Source organism: Homo sapiens, chromosome 3 (genome assembly GCF_000001405.40).
Source record: "Homo sapiens chromosome 3, GRCh38.p14 Primary Assembly".
Taxonomy (NCBI): Eukaryota; Metazoa; Chordata; class Mammalia; order Primates; family Hominidae; genus Homo; species Homo sapiens.
The window spans coordinates 183,993,873-184,013,684 of record NC_000003.12 but is presented as its reverse complement, the minus strand read 5'-3'; the positions used below and the strand labels follow the sequence as shown (position 1 = coordinate 184,013,684).

Genomic DNA, 19,812 nt, shown 5'->3' with positions numbered 1-19,812 from the left:
AACTTATTGAGGGGGAGGGGGTCATGGGGTCAATGACAGGGAATATAAAGCCAATTAAGCTTCATTCATGTACCTAAACAAAATTGGTGTTTTCTTCTACTTTCTGTCATGTGTGTTTAAAATGTGAACCTGGCCAGGCACAGTGGCTCATGCTTGTAATCCCAGCACTTTGGGAGGTTGAGGTGGGTGGGTCACTTGAGGTCAGGAGTTTGAGACCAGCCTGGCCAACACGGTGAAACCCTGTCTCTGCTAAAAATACAAAAATTAGTGAGGTGTGGTGGTGGGCACCTGTACTCCCAGCTACTCAGGAGGGAGGCAGGAGAATTGCTTGAATCCAGGAGGCAGAGGTTGCAGTGAGCCAAGATCACGCCACTGCACTCCAGCCTGGGCAACAGAGTGAGACTCCGTCTCCAAAAAAATAAAAAATAAAATAAAATGTGAATCCTTTGGAGAGACTCAGATTTCAGAACAATTCTAGATAGTTGTGGGATTATCAGTATGTTTTTCAAGCGAATTCATAAGTTAAGCAGTCTTTAGATAATAATCTAATTTCCTCCAAGGGAAATAATGAAGATGCGTTTTTACCTCGAGAAAATATTCTTTTTCCTGAGGAAAAAAAGCATTATACCTTTTCTTACAAAAGTACCTAATAAGGCAGAATGGACTAGGTTTAGGAAGTTGAGGTTTTTGTTGGTGTATTTGTTATGTGAAAATTTGAGAAAGATAATGGACTTTGCAGCTGACACTGGCCTTTCCTTAGCCTGATACTACCTTTCCCTCTTTGGTTGTGTTAAAGCCATTGCTTTATTAATGAACATTTTCTTGCTAATGAGTCTTTTCTGTACCCTACTGTGTATTATAGAATGCTTTTCCATTCAGGTTTAACTTCAGAGAAACAGGCTTAATGTAATCAGTGTCAAATGCTTCTCGTGGTGCCAGTTTTATAACTTCCTCATGTCCTTTTGTCTAGACCTTATGTTGATTAAACATCTATCCATTACATCTGAGTGCTAGACACATTTAGTGTAACAGTTAAGTCTGGAAAAAGTCAGAAGGTAACATTGGGGCAGGGCCTTAAAGGGTGATTAGGTGGGGAGGCTTTTTAGGCGGTACAAGTACAGACCCAAAGGTATGGAAAGAGCGTGTGACATATTGGGACTTTGGATAAGCTACTTACGTCATTTGTATATAAAATGGGGTTGACAGTAGTACCTGACTCATGGGATCACTGAGGAGTAAATGAGATAATACATATAAAATATTTAAAATGGTACCTGGCACATGGCCAGTGCTCAATAAATGTTAGCTCTTAGAACTAGTTGTTCAGGGCATAGGATGTGTAAAGAGATTATAGGTCGGGTGAAATTCTGCATGCCATGCTAAGAAATATTTCACTGTGGGCATTAGGGAACTATTGGAAGTTAATGAGATTAAAAAAAAAAACCTTTTTATTTTGAGCTAACTGTAGATTTACATGCAATTATAAAAAATAATATAGAGATCCTATATATTCTTCATCCAGTTTCCCCCAGTGGTAACATCTTGCATAACTATAGTCCAGTATCACAACAGGATAATGATTGACATTGATACAATCCATTGACTTTAGGATTTCACCAGTTTTATATGCACTCATTTGTGTGTGTGTGTGTGTGTGTGTGTGTGTGTGTTGTGTTCTATGCATTTTTTAAAGGTGTAAATTTGTGTGACCGCTTCCACAGTCAGGATGCAAAGGTTCCATCACAAGGATCTCTCGTTACCCTTTTATAGCCACAGTCATGTCCCCTCAACCCCAGTCTCTGGCAACTGCTAATCTTTTCTCCATTTCTGTAATTTTGTCATTTTAAGAATGCTATATACATTGAATCATATAGTATATAACCTTTCGAGATTGCTTTTTTCACTCAGCTGAACTCCCTTGATAGCCATCTAATTTTGTTGTGTGCATCAATAGTTCTTTCCTTTGTATTGCTGAGTAGCATTCCGTGTTATAGATGTACCATAGCTTCTTTAACCATTCATTTGTTAAAGGACATATGGGTCATTTCCAGTTAATGGCAATTATACATAAAGGTGCTCTGAACCTTCAGTTACAGGATTTTGTGTGAACATAAGCTTTTATTTCTCTGGATTAATGCCCAGGACTGCGCTTGCTGGGTCATATGGTAAGTGCATATTTAGTTTGTAAGAAACTGCAGTACTCTTTCCCAGAGTGTCTGTGCCATTTTACATTCCCACCAGCAATGATCCAGTTTTTCCACATTGTTGCCAGTACTCAATGTTATAATGTTTATTTTAGCCATTCCTATAGATGTGCCTGGTATCTGATTGTGGTTTTAATTTGCAGTTCCCTAATGGCTACGATGTTTGAGAGTAGATTTTTATCTTAGATTAGTCTTGAAGCAATGCAGAAAAAAACCTGTACAGGAGAAAGAGACCAAATATAAAGAGCATTCAGGAAGCGGCTCTGCCTATCCATGTCAGAGAGGCCAGGGTTCTGTTGTAAAGCACAGAAGTGAGGATGGAGGAAAGGCGTTTCTAGAAGATAGGGAGGCATTGGGGTGTCTGGGATTGATGGTAAGGATTTAAACCTATTCGTGGACATAAGAAAAGGAGATTGGGGAGATATTAAGAATGAGTTTGGGCCGGGCACGGTGGCTCACGCCCGTAATCCTAGCACTTTGGGAGGCCGAGGCTGGTGGATTGCCTGAGCTCAGGAGTTTGAGACCAGCCTGGGCAACACAGTGAAACCCCATCTACTTGGGAGGTTGAGGCAGGAGAATCGCTTGAACCTGAGAGGCGGAAGTTGCAGTGAACCAAGATCGCGCCATTGCACTCCAGCCTGGGCAACAGAGTGAGACTCCATCTCCAAAAAAAAAAAAAAAAGAAGAAGAATGATTTTGATTTTGAAGATGTTGAATTTGAAGTGCATATGGGTAAAATTATCAGTAGGTAGAGCATAGACAAGAAGTAGTGTAGGAAAAAACATTTAGAGCCTTTAGTGTGTCCACATAGGTGAAGCTGTGAGAGTGAGCAGGCTTACCCAAGGATGGCTTGCAGAGCAGGAGAAGGTGGAGGCTGTGGAGCTGGTGTGTGGTCCTGTGAAATTTCTGGGGATAGGGTCCCCAGCTTGTGAGAGTAGAGTTGACATCAGGGTTTGCAGTGGCAGCAGCGAGCTTTTCCTCTACGAAGTGGAGAAGAACAGCAGGTAGGCACCGCTGGGCTTTGAGTACCCTAAAGGATATGGAGTCAGCCACCACTGTAGCAGGTTTTCAACATGCCACTGAAGCCTTATCTCAGAGAAATATGAAGGCTAATACCACTTTTATAAAATTTCAGGAATCCACATGAATTTTATGAATTTTATTTTTATTATTCTTTCATGTTTCCTAAACTTTTTTTTTTTTTTTTTTTTTTTGAGACGAAGTCTCCTTCTGTCACCCAGGCTGGAGTGCAGTGGTGCAATCTCAGCTCACTGCAACCTCCACCTCCCGGGCTCAAGCAATTCTCCTGCCTCAGCCTCCTAAACAGCAGGTGCCTACCTGCTGTTCTCTGTTACCACATTGGCCAGGCTGGTCTTGAACTCCTGAGCTCAAGTGATCCGCCTGCCTTGGCCTCCCAAAGTACTGGGATTACAGGCGTCAGCCACCACATCTGGCCATGAACTTTTATTTTTTATTAAATTTTTTTTGTTTGTTTTTTTGTAGAGGCACTCTCACTGTTGGCCAGGCTGTTGTTGAACTCCCAGCTTCAAGCAAGCCTCCCGCCTCAGCCTCCCAAAGTGCTGGGATTACAGGCATGTGGCACCACACCCTGCCCCTAAACTTTGAAATTTGAGTACTGTTTTCCTGATTTTTACTGTATCCTTGTAATCTCTGAACTTTTTTAAAAGATTTCTTTTATTCTACTCTCTTTCTGTTACTTAGTCTAGACCTAGCAAAACAACAACAATAAGCCCATAGGTTTATTCAAGCTATTTTTGTATATACATTAAAATGAATGCATCGCTACTAAGTATTTTTGTAAGTTCAGACACCATCTAGAATCTGCTTGACCGTTACCTGTCAAAAAACAAAATTTCTCAGATGTATTTATCTTTAACTTGTCTTCATGTTACAAGTTTGCTGACAGAAGCAACCAGCAAGATGACAAGAAATTTTGTGGTCTGAGAAAATTGTATAAATGGTATAAAATGGATAATGTAAGTAGTTGGGAAGCAGAATTCCTGTATAAGCATATAGTTTTTCTTTTTTTAAAGTAAGCAGTTAATTGGGCAGAGATTGCAATTTCATGTCACATCATCATTACCATCATTTTTATATTTGTTAGAGAGGAAATCTGGGACAGGATCTCCCAGGATGCCAGGTATGCCTACTATCTGTCAAAAATTTAAAACAAACAACAAAAAAGCCTCTAAGTAACAAAAGATAAGGATACATCTATGGCTCTTATGTGGAAAGCAAGGTTTCATTCAGCACTATTAGCCTTTAACACGTGGAATTAACCGAGAAGCAGGAGACCTGTGCTGCTGGTGCCTCACGCCTGTAGTCCCAGCACTGTGGGAGGCCGAGGGAGGAGGCTCGCTTGAGCCTGGGAGTGCAAGACCAACCTGGGCATCATGGTGAGACCTGTCTCTACAAAAAAATAAAAATAAAAATAAATTAGCTGGGCACAGGGGTTTGTGCCTGTAGTCCCAGCTACTTGGGAGGCTGAGGTGGGAGGATCACTTGAGCCCAGGAGGTCCAGGCTACAGTAAGCTGTGATTGTGCCACTGCACTCCACCCTGCGTGACAGAGCGAGACCCTGTCTCACCAAAAAAAAATAAAGAAAGAAAGAAAAGAAATGGTGTCAAACAGAAGTCAGAAGCAAAGCACCAAAGAATAAGTTCTGACTTTGAGCAGGCCAGTGCTTTTCTTCTTCAAGGTGTAAGTGAAGATGCAGATTACATGGTTTGCCCATTTCTCAGTATTGTGACCAAATCATTCTTTTGGAATATGACTTGGAAAAATTGCTCTATTAGTCACATCTTCAAATATTTATAATTTCTCACGTATGCTTAGAAATAATTAGGGTTGAAATAAAGCATTCGCACATCTACCCACTTTCTTCGGGACTGTAATGTTAATGCTTGTGGCCACACACAATTTGAGGCTTAGCAGGCATCCTTTAATCCTGAAGTGTTAATAAAGTGGTGGTTTCTGTTGCTGTTAGTTCTTTGAGCCTGAGTACTAACTTTGGCTGGCATTAGGCTGGCGTTACTTCAGCTAACATGAAGTTTTATACCTAGGCTGCTCCTAAACACTGTTCCTTTGCCTGAGGCATGATTATTCAGGCATGGTTCCTTTTTTTAATCCTATTTATATATGCACATGTAGATCATATGACTCCACGAGCCCTGATTTTTTTTTAAGATGCAGTCAGTGTTTATTCATTTTTTTAAATTTAGCAAATATTTGAACACTCTTCAAGATGCATGCACAGCACTGAACCGAGTGGTCTGGTGCAGATAAAGATAAATTGGTGCTGGGCCTGCTTGTCCACCAATAGAAGCTTAAACTCACAACACGTACTCTACATAGATGACTGTAATTTAGATGCTGTGGGAATTAGTAAAAGGAGAAAGTGCTTCTCTCTCAGGGAACTCTTTAGGAGGAGGTATCATTTGGCTGGAAACTTGAGGAATGGATAGAATTTGGAGAAATGAAGAACTTGCCAGGCAAAAGAAAGAGTTGTGGGATAGGGATACCTAGTCCTTGTTGGTATTGAGCATCAAATGTGTGAAGTCTTAGCTATAGTGCAATACCTCAGTGAATTTCACATTATGTGTGGGGTTTTTTTGTTTTTTGTTTTTTGTTTTTGAGGTAGAGTCTCACTCTGTAGCCCAGGCTAGAGGGCAGTGGTGCGATCTTGGCTCACTGCAACCTCCGCCTCCCAAGTTCAAGCGATTCTCCTCTCTCAGTCTCCCAAGTAGCTGGGATTACAGGCACATGCAACCACACCCAGCTAATTGTTTGTATTTTTAGTAGAGATGGGGTTTCACCATGTTAGCCAGGCTGGTCTTGAACTCCTGACCTCAGGTGATCCCTCCGCCTCAGCCTCTCAAAGTGCTGGGATTACAGGTGTGAGCCACTGCGCCTGGGCATGTGTGTTCTTGAATAATAAGCCAAGGAGTTTGGATTTTAATTGCTTTAAATTAATATTTAAGCAAAAGCAAGACAAAGCTTGTCAGATGCTTTTATGAGCTTTATTTTATTGTGGTGGTGGTTTGTTTTCTTAGTGCTCTCAGGCAAAGGTAAGGGTGCCTTGTTTTTCATTAGCATGTCTAATCTGGGAAAGAAGGAAGAATGGAAAAATAAGCAGAAGTGGGCCGGGCGTGGTGGCTCACGCCTGTAATCTCAGCACTTTGGGAGGCCGAGGCGGGCAGATCACAAGGTCAGGAGATTGAGACCATCCTGGCTAACATGGTGAAACCCTGCCTCTACTAAAAATACAAAAAATTAGCTGGGCATGGTGGCATGCACCTGTAGTCCCAGCTACTCGGGAGACTGAGGCAGGAGAATCGCTTGAACCCGGGAGCCAGAGTTTGCAGTGAGCCGAGATCGCACCACTGCACTCCAGCCTGGGGAACAGCAAGACTCTGTCTCAAAAAAAAAAAAAAAAAAAAAAAAGCAGAAGTAAACTAAAGTTCATGTACCATTATTACTGGCACATGAACTTTAGTTATTTTTTCCCCTTCTCTCAAAAGTGTGTCATTGGTGGGATTTTCTTCCTACCAAATTAGAATATCCTGTGTCTAGGAAAGGTAACAAAGCAAGTATTCATAAAATCCAGGGCTCTTACTTAGTATTTCCTTAGTTCTGTGGTAGGCTGACCCTTTAATCTTGGTTGGAGTTTTCATAATTAATGCTTTGAAATATTTTGGTGAGCTCAAGTTGTATCTTAGGGATCAAAGATGTGGGTCTAATCTCTTACCAGAAATGATTCGAAGATGTATTGTTAGGAAAGAAATATGGGCTCATTATAGAAAATGTACAAAGTGTGTAAAGTTGTAGAAAAAAAGTAACCACCCTTAATTCCTCTACCCAGAGACAGCCATTGTTTTCATAAAATAGTTTTGTCTAGTACATTGTACTTTTAGAGTTTGCTCCTGAAAGCTTTTCTTTACAGACTAAGGACGTGTGAATTTGTCTATGCCCTTGTGTTTTCCAAGTCAAGAGTATTACCTGTGAGTCGGCTTGCTGTTAGGAAGGAGAGCAGGAGGAAGGAGATTAGCATTTTGCAGCTCTGCATTATTTTTCTCTTGATTGATACTCGGTGACTCAGCAGATTTTCTGGACAGGGTTAAGATAAGTAAGAATACCTGCCTTTTTTTTTTTTTTTTTTTCTTCTCTCCCTGTAGGCATCCATAAAGCTTTATGAGGCACAGTAGTCTCTTAGGCGCTGCTGGGTGTGACACCGTATCTGGTCTGGTGCCAGGTGTTGGTCTCCAATAGCAGCCCAGAGATCTCCGGCTGAGGTAACAACAGTGTGCGATTGGTGTGGAGCCCAGGTGGCTCTCATGCTTGGTAACTGCATTGACAGCTCGCTGGGGCTCTTGAGGTTGGGCTGCTGCCGGGATCATCAGCTCTCTTATGCCGTTTGCTGCAAGACTGCCGCGGCTTTCCTAGGAAGTGCTGCTTAAGGGAAATAAATATAGCCTGTTGGCATGAGTTAAAGGAACTTTCTGTCAAAGGGGAAGAAAAGTGTTGGAATTAGCTTCCTGTTTTTTTTTTTTTTAAGTACCTAAATCTTTATTTGGTTAAGATAACTTGGAAGTTACAAATGGTTAATGAAAACTTTTTCAATGAAATATTGTTTCCACAGTTAGGTGGGTTTCCGTTAATGCTTTCTTTTTTTTAGTTATTATTATACTTTAAGTTCTAGGGTACATGTACACAACGTGCAGGTTTGTTACATATGTATACGTGTGCCATGGTGGTGGGCTGCACCCATTAACTCGTCATTTACATTAGGTATATCTCCTAATGCTATCCCTCCCCCCTCCCTGTTCATGCTTTTTTTAATGTCTTACCGTTTTTCCCTCTCTTTTAGTCAAAAATAAAAAGGTCAACGCAAAGAAACAGGGACTCCAGAAGGCTTTGCAATGGTTAAACCTGTCATTATTAAACTCACAGACTAATGTGAAGTTAATTTGGTGCACTGAAGTCCACTAATGAGCAGAATTAAATTTATCCTTTTCCTCCCTGCCCCCCTTTTAAGGAGTTAGCCTATTTAGATAATTAGATGTTATATATGTTTTAACTATTTAAGATTATTTTATGAATTAGCTGTTCAAAGAATCAATTGTTACTAGATATCAGATGAGAACTTCCACTTACCAAAGCCTGCTCATGGAGGTAGAAAGCAAGACTGACATGTGTACTTTAAAAGATGGATGGAACCTCAAAGGCCGTCTTGCCCAGTCCCCATTTAGCCTCACCTCTCTGTAGGTGAGGCCCAGGAGAGACACTTACTAGGCAGACTATGCTGGGGCTGGGTGAGCTTCCCAAGGATGTTCTTTCTGGAATTCGGTGGCTCAGAATACAGCACTTGGCTCCTCTTTGAAGCATGATGGCTCTGTTGCCTGTCTCTGGCCCAGTGTGCTGGGCTGCTGAAAAGAGCATGGAACCACCCAGGAGACGCCACGACACTGACAGCTGTACCTGACCTGAGGGTTCAGGATATGTTTTCAAAAGCAAATCTCGCTAAAAAGGATTTGTATGTTATTATGAAATCTATATTTATGTGGTGGAAATAGACACACTCAGGCTTTTAGAGATAAACTACACAGAATGGGTTACAATAAATGCTTATAATTGTTTGGCTTTTTTAAGAATCCTGTTAACTTGACAACCTTCTGTTTACTTTTCTTTGGTATTATGCAGGTATGATATTGAGCAGTCACTTAGTTTTCTTAAATGTTGTGTCTCACAGTAGAAAAATAGCCAAACCACTCAGCCCCTGACCTTTGTGTTTGCTTCTCACGGTGATCAGCAGTTCTGGTCTGCTCTGCAGTATGGTGGTCACATGATGGAACCCAGAAAGCCTTGTACTAAGCATTTAACACACATTGTGTTAGGCACTGGAGGAAGTTTCATTTACAAATTATATTTTGGCCTTTTTTTTTTTTTTTTTTTTTGAGACGGAGTCTCTGTCACCCAGGCTGGAGTGCAGTGGCATGGTCTTGGCTCACTGCAACCTCTGCCTTCTAGGTTCAAGCAATTCTCCTGCCCTCAGTCTCCCAAGTACCTGGGATTACAGGTGTGCACCACCATGCCTGGCTAATTTTTGCATTTTTAGTAGAGACAGGATTTCACCATGTTGGCCAGGCTGGTCTCGAGTCCTGACCTCAAGTGATCCACCTGCCTGGGCCTCCCAAAGTGCTGGGATTATAGGTGTGAGCCACTGTACCTGGCCTTTTTTTTTTTTTTTAGCTAAAGCCTGAAAATCTTGTTGAAGGGATTTTGTCAAATGCAAAAGACCAATATTCACAACTCTCTAAATCAGTGGTTTTCAGGCCAGGCTGAATGTTAAAATCACTTGAAGAATGTTCAACAAATACCAGTGTTGGGGTCCTATTCCAGACCAATTAAATCAGTCTCTGGGATAGAACCCAGACATTGGTATTGTTTTAAAACTCCTCTGGTGATTCTAGTAGGTAGGCAGTGCTGGGAATCTCTAGATCTCATGGAATAAAGTCTGTTCTCTCCCCTCACTCAATGGCTCCAAGTGTTTCCTGTAAATCCCGTTTTACCCCTGTGATTCATTTTCAGTTTAATCCTTTGAAACCTTACCATGCTATTAACAAAGTTAATCTTAGACCCAACATAACAGGAACTTTGAATAAGTTCCTTGGAATTTAGCTTATGAAACAACTGAAAGCCCTCAAATTCCTGGTGATTATGGAGTAATGCTAGATTATCAACTGCAGACAAATACCTGTTTTACTGTGGTGGTGGAGATATGTTTGTGAATTGTATTGCTAGCTGATCATCGGCTTGAGAGTAACATAGCACAGCTACAGATAAGTGAGCTGATGCTCAAGTTAATTCTTTTCTCAGTGTAGTATAGCTGTTGAGTGATAGGACTGAGTTTAGCAGCTTCCCTGACTTGGAATAATAGCTCTTTCTTTTGTATTCTGCTTCTTCCCCATATAGGTTGGGTTCTAGAATTTTGCTGATCCTCTTGACTGAAATGGCTACTATTTGGAAGTTCTTAAGGGAAGAGCTTAAGATGGTCAGGGTTGTGATAACAACCCACTGGGGAGTAAGGATGTGGTGGGAATTGCAGAGGAAACGTGCTTGGTAGGTTTCTTTAACTTGTTGGAGATTAGGAAGGGCGGGAAGGCCTGAAGTCAGCCGGTCTTGGGAGGACATCAGTTTTTGATCTTTTTAAATTTAAAAGTGAATTTTAATTCACTTTTAAATTTAATTTCTAATATTCTGAGTCCCTTAAGAAGTATATCTAGTGGCACAACAGTTCCCCTTAAAAGTTTGTCTTTCTAGATGTTTGTCATAAAGGCTGCGTGGGCCTGGGACATCTGTAGAAATGGTTTTCTTGGCCAGAAGGATGTATTTGAAGAGGCGCCCATTGTCTTGTTTGTCTTAAGGTCTTGTGAATGAGGAGAGGAGAGGAAGACAGTGTTGTGAGATCTGAGGCCTGTTGATTCCGATTGTGCCCCAGATACCGCTTTATTTGAGGGGTGTGCCAGACAGGAGCAGGCAGCCTTTAACCCCCTTGGAAACCGAGGTACCTCTCTGTTGCCAGTTGACACCTGCAGTCTCTGCCTTCAGGAACAACTTGGTTGAATCCTCAGCCCGAGGCTTATTAGGCAGGCTACCCTGCTGTTGTCCGGCCTCCAGGAAGGGATTGGATTGTTCAGACGGGGAACGATTTCTGGCCCCTGGTATCTGTCCCAGAGGCCTCCGTGCAGGGGAAAAGCCCTTGGTTGCCCTGTCAGCAGGCATTTGCTCTGGCAGCCTGTTAAAATGAGATGGGACAGCTGGAGAAGTGGTGGCCATGGGGTGTGATAGGTGCGCTGATTATCTGAGGCCTGAGGATGGCGTTAGCGCCCGCAGAAGCGTCTTTTGCAAGAGCAGATCTGTCTGCTTATGAATCGAATGTTACCTGTTTTTCATACCAGAGGTGTCTATGAATGTGTGTTTCCCTGATCTTTGTTTGAACCTTGACAGAATCTGAATTGCTTTTTGTTATTGTTGTTTTTGTTTTTCTCTTTTTTTTTTTTTTGAGACGGAGTCTGGCTCTGTTGCCCAGGCTGGCGTGCAGTGGTGCGATCTTGGCTCACTGCACCCTCTGCCTCCTTGGTTCAAGCAATTCTCCTGCCTCAGCCTCCTGAGTAGCTGGGATGACAGGCATGCATCACCATACCCGGCTTATTTTTGTATTTTTAGTAGAGACCGGGATTTCACCATGTTGGCCAGGCTGGTCTCGAACTCCCAACCTTAGGTGATCCTCCCACCTTGGCCTCCCAAAATGCTGGGATTACAAGCATAAGCCACCCCACCCGGCAGAATCTGAACTTCATTGTCCCTCTTTAGCTTCCCTGTGACCTTACTCCTGCCCCATTGCCATTACCTTGGTAGGAAAAATGCTGAGTATCCTAGTCACATAGTCATGGGGAAGATATAAATGGCAGTCATACTTCCTCGTTTGATATTTTTCTCAGCTCCTGGATCTGCCAGTATTTTTCCCTTTAAGACAAAGCAGCTGCTGTGGGTGCCTTTCTGTGTGGCTGGGTCGTCTGGCCACTGACAGCCTTTCAGTGTGCTGTGCTCCTTAAGAGAAATGGGTCCCCTCATCTTGTTTCAGGGGAAACTTTAAAAAGTTACTTGTAAAAGGGATTGAAAGCATCATAACAAAAAACAAATGGCCTCATAAAATACATTCCTCTAGGTCAGCCTATATCAGTACTAACTGTGTTAGCTCTTCAGCTATCTAGGGTTACCTTAGTACGATTGACATTTTGGGCCACATAATTCTTTGTTGTGGGGGCTATCCTGTGCATTGTAGGATGTTCAGCAGCATCCCTGGACTTTACCTGCTAGAGCTAGTAGCACCCCTCAAACATTTCCAGATATTGCCACATGTCCTCTGGGCAAGCAAAACACCCTCACTTGTGAACTCCTGGGCTGCACCGTGCGACACAGTACTATTGTGGCTATTAAGCATTTGACCTGTGGCCAGTCTGAACTGAGATGTGCTGTAAGCATAAAATACCTGATTTCAGAGACTTAGTACGAAAAAAGAAATACCTCGTTTGTAAAATACCTAATAATTTTTCACATTGATTATATGTTAAAAAAGATAATACTTTGCATTGGGTTAAATGAAATATATTATTTAAATTAATTTACCTTTTACTTTTTATTTTTAGAGTCAGAGTCTCACTCTGTCACCCAGACTGTAGTGCGGTGGCATGACCATGGCTCACTGCAGCGTCAAACACCTGGGCTCCTGTGATCCTCCTGCCTCAGCCTCCTGAGTAGCTAGGACTACAATCTCGTGCCACCATGCCTGGCTAACTTTTAAATTTTTTATAGTGATGGGGTTTTGGAGGGTTACACAGACTAGTCTCAAACTCCTGGCCTGAGGCCATCCTCCCACCTCAGCCTCCCAAAGTGTTGTGATGACAGGCATAAGCCACTGTACACTGCCTACTTTTTACTTTTTAAATGTGGCTACTAGAAAAATTTAAATTACATTATGTGGCTTACATTTGCAGCTTGCATTATATTTCTATTGGACAGTGCTGAACTAGAGTGTTGATCTACTGTAGGTTAGCCATTGATTTTGTATTAGGCATTTAGATCCCTGTAAGCTGTTGGGTTTAATGATTTTTTCCTTTGGAAGATTTTCCTTTATGCAGTAAAATTATGGAGACACAGAGTATGTAGTATTACATATTACCAGTTTGCTCTCCTGAATCCCTGCTGGTAGCATATTAAAAATCAGTTTAATGTTCAGACCGTGTATGTTTGTCTATATTTCTCTCCTTTCCATATTGCATTTTCTTTTCCATATTAGATTTTATCTCTTTTAAGGCTTATGTGGTTGTATCTTAAATTTAATTTGTATTTCTCGATTGGTGACATTGGGTCTGTGTGTTCTCTCCTGTATCTAGAACAGTGCCTGGCACATAGTAGGCCCTCAGTAAGGACTAGTTGAATGAATGGATGAAAAAATACTGTATTTTACTTTTTCAGTACAAGTCCACTACTCGAAATATATTATTATGTTAGCTACTTGGTTACTTCTTATTTTTATTTATTTATTTATTTATTTAGAGACAGGGTCTCACTCTGTCACCCAGGCTGGAGTGCAGTGGCATGATCTTGGCTCACTTCAGCCCGATGGTCCTGGCTCAAGCGATCCTCCCACCTCAGCTTCCTGAGTAGCTGGGGCTAACGGTGTCCCTTTTTTGTATTTTTTTGTACAGGCGGGGTTTCATCATGTTGCCCAGGCTGGTCTCAAGCTCCTAGGCTCAAGCGATCTGCCCGCTTGAGCCTCCCAGAGTGCTGGGATTGTAGGTGTGAGCCGCCGCGCCCAGCCACTTGGTCACTTCTTTAGCTTTATCTTCCCTTCTCTTAATGCTAATTTCCTTACGCAAAAAAGTTTCCTTTTCATGTTTGAACCTCTCTTCCCTTTGATACATTTCTGCTTGTTGGGTGTAAATGGAGGCTGTCCCCCATCATAGCTGGACTAAGTATGCTATATAATTTATGTCATCATTTTTAATGTAATTTTTGGGAGGTTAATTCCAGATGGATTAATGTATGATATGAAACCTGGATATCAATTAATTCATCTCCAATCTGGTTAGTTGGTAGGAAGGTAGGTAGTAGGTAGGATGTGAGTGACTGTCTCTGTCACCCAGGCTGGGGTGCAGAGGTGCAATCATGGCTCACTGTACCCTCGACTTACCAGGATCAAGCGATCCTCCTGCCTTAGCCTCTCAGGTAGCTGGACCACAGGTGTGCACCACCATGCCCGGCTAGTTTTAAAAAATGCTGTATATAGATGGGTTCTCACTTTGTTGCCCAGGCTGGTCTTGAACTCCTGGGCTCAAGCGATCCTCCCACTTTGGCCTCCCAGTGCTGAGATTACAGGTGTGAGCCAGTGCACCTGGCCCAATCTGGTATTTATTTGTCCCAACAATATTCACTGACTCATGATTCCCTACCTTGTTATATTATTTATGCTTTTGTATAGTAAGCCCTTATAGCTTGAATATATTAAGTCTTTTCTCTTGGTTCATTGCCATTTTTAATCCATTCAACCTTAGAATGTTGATAACTCACTTTATGGAATGTTAACTGTGGTAGAAAATATTTATTTTTACCTTCAAATAGACATACTTTTTTTTTTTTCCTGGCATGCTTGGCCATGTGAGCTTTTTTAGGAAGCCTAGAGAGGAAGAGAAGTTAGACATCCAAGCATATAGTTAGTTTCAAGTGGGAGACATCTGTGCAGTTACTGGCAGGTTAGTATAAAGATGCTGTTATTTTATGTTTCTTTTTTTTTTTCTTTTTTTTTTTTGAGACAGAGTCTCCCTCTGTCACACAGGCTGCGGTTCAGTGGCGCGATCTCAGCTCACTGCAACCTGCACCTCCCAGGTTCAAGCAATTCTTCTGCCTCACCCTCCCGAGTAGCTGGGACTATAGGCATGTGCCACCATGCCCGCCTAATTTTTGTATTTTTAGTAGAGATGAGGTTGCACCATATTGGCCAGGCTGGTCTCGAACTCTTGACCTCAGGTGATCCACCCGCCTCAGCCTTCTAAAATGCTGGGATTACAGGCGTGAGCCACTACGCCTGGCCCTGAGTCATTGTTTATCTTAATCTGGTATTCACCCTGGGGAAGAGAGAAGAGCCATTTATGAGGTACACCTGGGATCATTTTGTACAGTTATGGTTTATTTGCTTGGTTTTGTTTTTTGTTTTTTTGTTTTTTTTGACAGGCCCATAGCATAGTGATCAAGACCCTTAGCTCAAGGCTGGATTGAAATCCCTGCTGTGACCTAACATCGGTGTGCCTCAGTTTCCTTAGCTGTAAAACAGGGATACTAGTACCTACCTCAAAGGGTTGTTATGAGGATTAAATTAGTTAGTATCTGTAAACCATTTAAAACAGTGTCTGGCACATAGTACATGCTATGTTGGTTTGTTATAAATTTGTATAAATTTTCTTAATTACCTTTAAGTGAAAAGCTTGCCTTTATAAATGCATACTAGTCGTGAGATTTGGCTGTACACAAGGAAGATTGCTATAGCTTCCTTTATTTCTTGCTAATGTCAAGACAACCTGAGGTCCACAAAATAGAAGTGAAAGTACTAAAGTTAATAGCAATTCTCTTTTGCAATAATACTGGAGCACATATCCTGTAATAAAGTTAATTGGGGCAAACTGGGTAGAAGTCTAATTGCTAGGAGCTACATTTTTTTAATCCTGTAACCCCAGGGATAGAATTTATCCTAAATAATCTAGAAGGAGAAAAATAAAACTATAATTGTATATTATACTATTAATAATAAGCAAAAGCTGGGTGTGGAGACTCATACCTGTAATCCCAGCACTTTCCGAAGCCAAGAATGGAGGATTGATTGCTTGAGCCCAGGAGCTCAAGACCAGCCTTGGCAACATAGTAAGAACCCGTCTCTACAAAAAATAAAAAAATTAGCCAGACATGGTGGTAGTGCATGCCTGTAGTCCCAGCTACTCTGGAGGCTGAGGTGGGAGATTGCTTGAGCCAGGGAGGTCAAAGCTGCAGTGAGCTATGATTGTGCCACTGCATTCCAGCCTGGGTGACAGAGCAAAATCCTGTCTCAGACAAAAATAATAATAAGCAAAACAGCTAGAGAATCTAAACAGAAGTGGAATGGGTAAGATCGCCTCAGTGGTATATCATGTAGCATTAATTGATGATATGTAGAATGTAAGGGAAAGAAGGTATTTTGAAGGTGTTTTCATTGACGTTTGAATACTGGGTGCCAAACTCTCTACTATGCCAGAGGCCAGGGATATAAACAAGAGGAAGACAGCTTGCCCTCTAGGAGCTCTTACCAGAAGCATTGGGCTGTGGTGGTATAGGTACAGGGAAGACATAGGAGGAAGGAAGTAAGTTCCCCGACCTTGAAAGAGTCAGGGAAAACTAAAGGAAAGAAGAAATCGTTGAGACAGACCCTAAGATTTATTGGCTAAGTAAATTGGGATAATATAGCTAACATGTATTGAATGTTTATTATATACCCAATATTTTGCTAAGCACTTTTAATTATCCCATTAATTCCTCTCATCCCTATGTGGTAGATGCATGTATCATTGTAAAAATGAGTAAACTGAAACTTAAATCTGTATCTATCTTCTAAAATTCATGTTTGAAATCACTGTATTTACTATGGCTTCCAGCTGTGGGAAAATTCTGCCTGTGGAGATCTTCATACTTTAAGGCCATAAGAAAAAATAGTTTTGTTGGAGTAAGAGAATTATTTTCTCTTGTTTTTATTTTTTATTTATTTATTTTTCATGTTAACATTTGAAAGTTCTTGCCAACAGCTGAATATCTGTTGCTTATTGTTTTGAGAGACCTGTCTCTGAAGGAGGTAGGTGCAAATATGGAGTAGGACAGTGGTTCCTTCAAAGGAGAAGATCCTGTATCATATCCTGTATTTCCATCAGATATTTCATTTTCCTGACTTGGGCAATGTGTAAAGATATGACAACAAGATTGACAATTTGGGAAAACGTTTAGGAAAGAATAACAGGGACAGGATGTGACTTGGAAAGTTCGTTGCTTAGAGTAGCAAGGTTTGATTCTTTTTGATCAACAATATAGACTTTTCCATCCTCTTACTGTGAGAATTTCTACTCCATGCTTTGTTACATGAGAATTCTGAGATTAGTGCTATTTCAACCACTTTTATGGGGGTTTGTTAGGATAAAATTGCACTGAGTGCCTGTTCTAAAACCAAAGGCAGCAGGAGAGCCCTGAGTCTCTGCCATCAGTAGTGCCACTGCAGTACTCACGAGAAACCTGGGGAATGAAGACTTGCCTGGCAGCTTTCATTTGAATCTTTTTAAAAAGAGCCTTTGATTTTGATGTTTTCCAATATAGGAAGTAACTTACTACCTAGGAGGTGGTGAAACATGACATAGTTATATATAGTAAAAAGAACAAAAACCATGCAATCAGAGGATTTTAAAAATATTAAGTCCATTTAGTTTTCTATGAATAGGTTTTAGTGAAAACTGTCACTAGGCATTTTAGAAATGAAGAAAATGAAATCAGTGTGTTATACACATAGGAACTGGCATTTTTTTGGTTCCCACCATCTGGAATAGTCTTACAGATCGGAGGCACTCGGTAAGTTATTTGTGGAAAGAATGGATGAAAGCTGTGAAGATTCTGGTTTCCTATTAATGCTAATATGCCATGCTCATGTAAACATACTGATGGATTGCTTGCCAAGTTTTCCTCTTCTGATGCTTCTCAAACATCAAAGATGTTTATAGAACCCTTCTGGCCGGACACGGTGGCTTACACCTGTAATCCCAACACTTTGGGAGGCCGAGGCAGGCGGATCATGAGGTCAGGAGATCGAGACCAGCCTGGCCAACACGGTGAAACCCCATCTCTACTAAAAATACAAAAAATTAGCCGGGCGTGGTGGCGGGTGCCTGTAATCCCAGCTACTCGGGAGGCTGAGGCAGGAGAATGGAGTGAACCCGGGAGGCGGAGCTTGCAGTGAGCTTAGGTCGCACCACTGCACTCCAGCCTGGGCGACAGAGTGAGACTCTGTCTTAAAAAAAAACAACAACAAGAAAACCCCTTCTAACTCTTGAACTTGGTTCACCTGGAAAAGCAAAAGAACTAGAATAGCTAAAACAATTTTGAAAAGGAAGGATAAAGTTGAAGGCATCACACTATCCAATTTTAAGACTTAGTTTGTAGCTACAGTAATCAAGTCAGTAGTATCAATGTAGGGGTAGACAAATAGATCAATGAAATAGAGTCTAGAAATAGACTCACACAGGCATGGCCAACTTTTCGACATAAGTGCAGCACACCTCACTGGAGAAATGGTAATCTTTTCAACACATGGTACTGGAACAACCGGACATCTGTAGGCAAAAAAGTGAACCTTTGCCGAAACCTTACACTTTATACAAAAATTAACTCAAAATGAACCATAGATTTAAATATAAAATGTAAAACTATAAAGCTTTTAAGAGAGCACATAGGAGAAAATCTTCATGACCTGGGGGTTGGAAGAAGAGTTCTTAGGCATGACACTAAAAGCACAATTGTAAAAGAAAAAAATTGGTAAATTAGACTTCAAAATTACAAACTTTTGCTGCATGAATGGCCCTAATTAGGAGGATGAAACATGGCCATAAAATGGGAGAAAATATTTGCAAATCATATGACAAAGAACTTTAATCCAGAATATATAAGGAACTTGCTAAACTCAATAATAAAAAAAAAAATTCACTTAGAAAATAAGCTGTAATTTCAGCACTTTGGGAGGTCAAGGTGGGAGGATCGCTTGAGCCCAGGAGTTCAAGACCGGCCTGGGCAACATAGTGCTGTCTCCACAAAATAAAAATAATTAGCTGGGTGTGGTAGCACGTGCCCGTAGTCCCAGCTACTTGGGAGGTGGGAGGATCACTTGAGCCTGGGAGTTCAAGGCTGCAATGAGCCGTGATCATGCCATTGCACTCCCAGCCTGGGCAACAGAGCAAGACCTTGTCTTAAAAAAAAAAAAAAAAAAACATAGAAAATGGGCAAAAGACTTGAACAGATACTTCAGCAAAAAGAATGTAGGGGTGACATATAAGTACACATAGATGTTAAACATTATTCGTTCACCATTAGGGTAGTGCAAATTAAAACCACAATAAGATACCATACCACACCTATTAGAATGGCTAAAATAAAATATAATGCCAATACTGGCCAGGTGCGGTGGCTCACGCCTGTAATCCCAGCACTTTGGGAGCCCAAGGCAGGCGGATCACTAGGTTAGGAGTTCGAGACCAGCCTGACCAACATGGTGAAACCCCGTCTCTACTAAAAATAGAAAAATTAGCCAGGCGTGGTGGTGGGCATCTGTAATCCCAGCAACTCAGGAGGCTGAGGCAGGAGAATTGCTTGAACCCTGGAGGCGGAGGTTGCAGTGACCCGAGATTGCACCACTGCACACCAGTCTGGGCGACAGATCAAGACTCCGTCTTGGGGGTAAAAAAAAAAATGCCAATACCAAGCACTGGTGAGGATGTGGGGAAACTAGATTTCTCATCCATTGCTAGTGGGAATGTAAAATGGTACTGTGGTCAAGTAATTTCAATGACAACTAATATTTGAATCATAAATAATGTCAAGCTGCTTTATATACTTCTTGTGCTATCAAAAGTTAAACAAGAAGTGAGATCTCCACTTGAAGTCAGGAGTTTGAGACTAGCCTGGGCAAAATGGCATCTCTACTAAAAATACAAAAATTAGACGGGTTGGTGGTGGGCATTTGTAATCCCAGCTACTTGGGAGGCTGAGGCAAGTGAATTGCTGGAACCCGGGAAGCGGAGATTGCAGTGAGCCAAGATTGCGCCACTGCACTCCATCCTGGGTGACAGAGCGAGATGCTGTCTCAAAAAAAAAAAAAAAAAAAAGTGAGATCTCCATTCCAGTACAAATTTGTAGTGGATATATTTTTCAAACTGAAATTACAGTTCTAGTAGTGATTTTTAGACCTCGATGA

The 19,812-nt window shown here is 41.5% G+C and overlaps 1 protein-coding gene and 2 long non-coding RNA genes across 13 annotated transcripts in view, besides 2 other annotated features; 2 read left to right on the top strand and 1 right to left on the bottom strand.

Annotated features, from left to right (window-relative positions):
- ABCC5 (ATP binding cassette subfamily C member 5) overlaps positions 1–19,812 on the top strand; it is a 97,951-nt gene that overhangs the window by 4,200 nt on the left and 73,939 nt on the right. The gene's annotated exons all lie outside the window — the stretch shown is intronic.
- Positions 2,080–3,279: an enhancer, noted in NCBI's record as "CDK7 strongly-dependent group 2 enhancer chr3:183728194-183729393 (GRCh37/hg19 assembly coordinates)". NCBI's record gives its function as "activates an origin of replication core promoter dependent on BRD2, BRD4, P300/CBP, MED14 and CDK7 cofactors, with strong dependence on CDK7, by STARR-seq in HCT116 cells {active_cell/tissue: HCT116}" and the evidence as "EXISTENCE:reporter gene assay evidence [ECO:0000049][PMID:35650434]".
- ABCC5-AS1 (ABCC5 antisense RNA 1) lies at positions 2,266–7,347 on the bottom strand. The gene is made up of 3 exons (NR_046570.1): positions 7,224–7,347; positions 3,044–3,234; positions 2,266–2,419 (listed from the first exon to the last, which is right to left on the bottom strand). It is a non-coding gene; the product is annotated as an ABCC5 antisense RNA 1 (long non-coding RNA).
- On the top strand, positions 3,734–5,210 carry LOC124909468 (uncharacterized). The gene is made up of 2 exons (XR_007096191.1): positions 3,734–3,860; positions 4,121–5,210. It is a non-coding gene; the product is annotated as an uncharacterized LOC124909468 (long non-coding RNA).
- Positions 6,619–6,668: a silencer, noted in NCBI's record as "silent region_14952". NCBI's record gives its function as "represses an Ori minimal core promoter by ATAC-STARR-seq in GM12878 lymphoblastoid cells {active_cell/tissue: GM12878}" and the evidence as "EXISTENCE:reporter gene assay evidence [ECO:0000049][PMID:35858748]".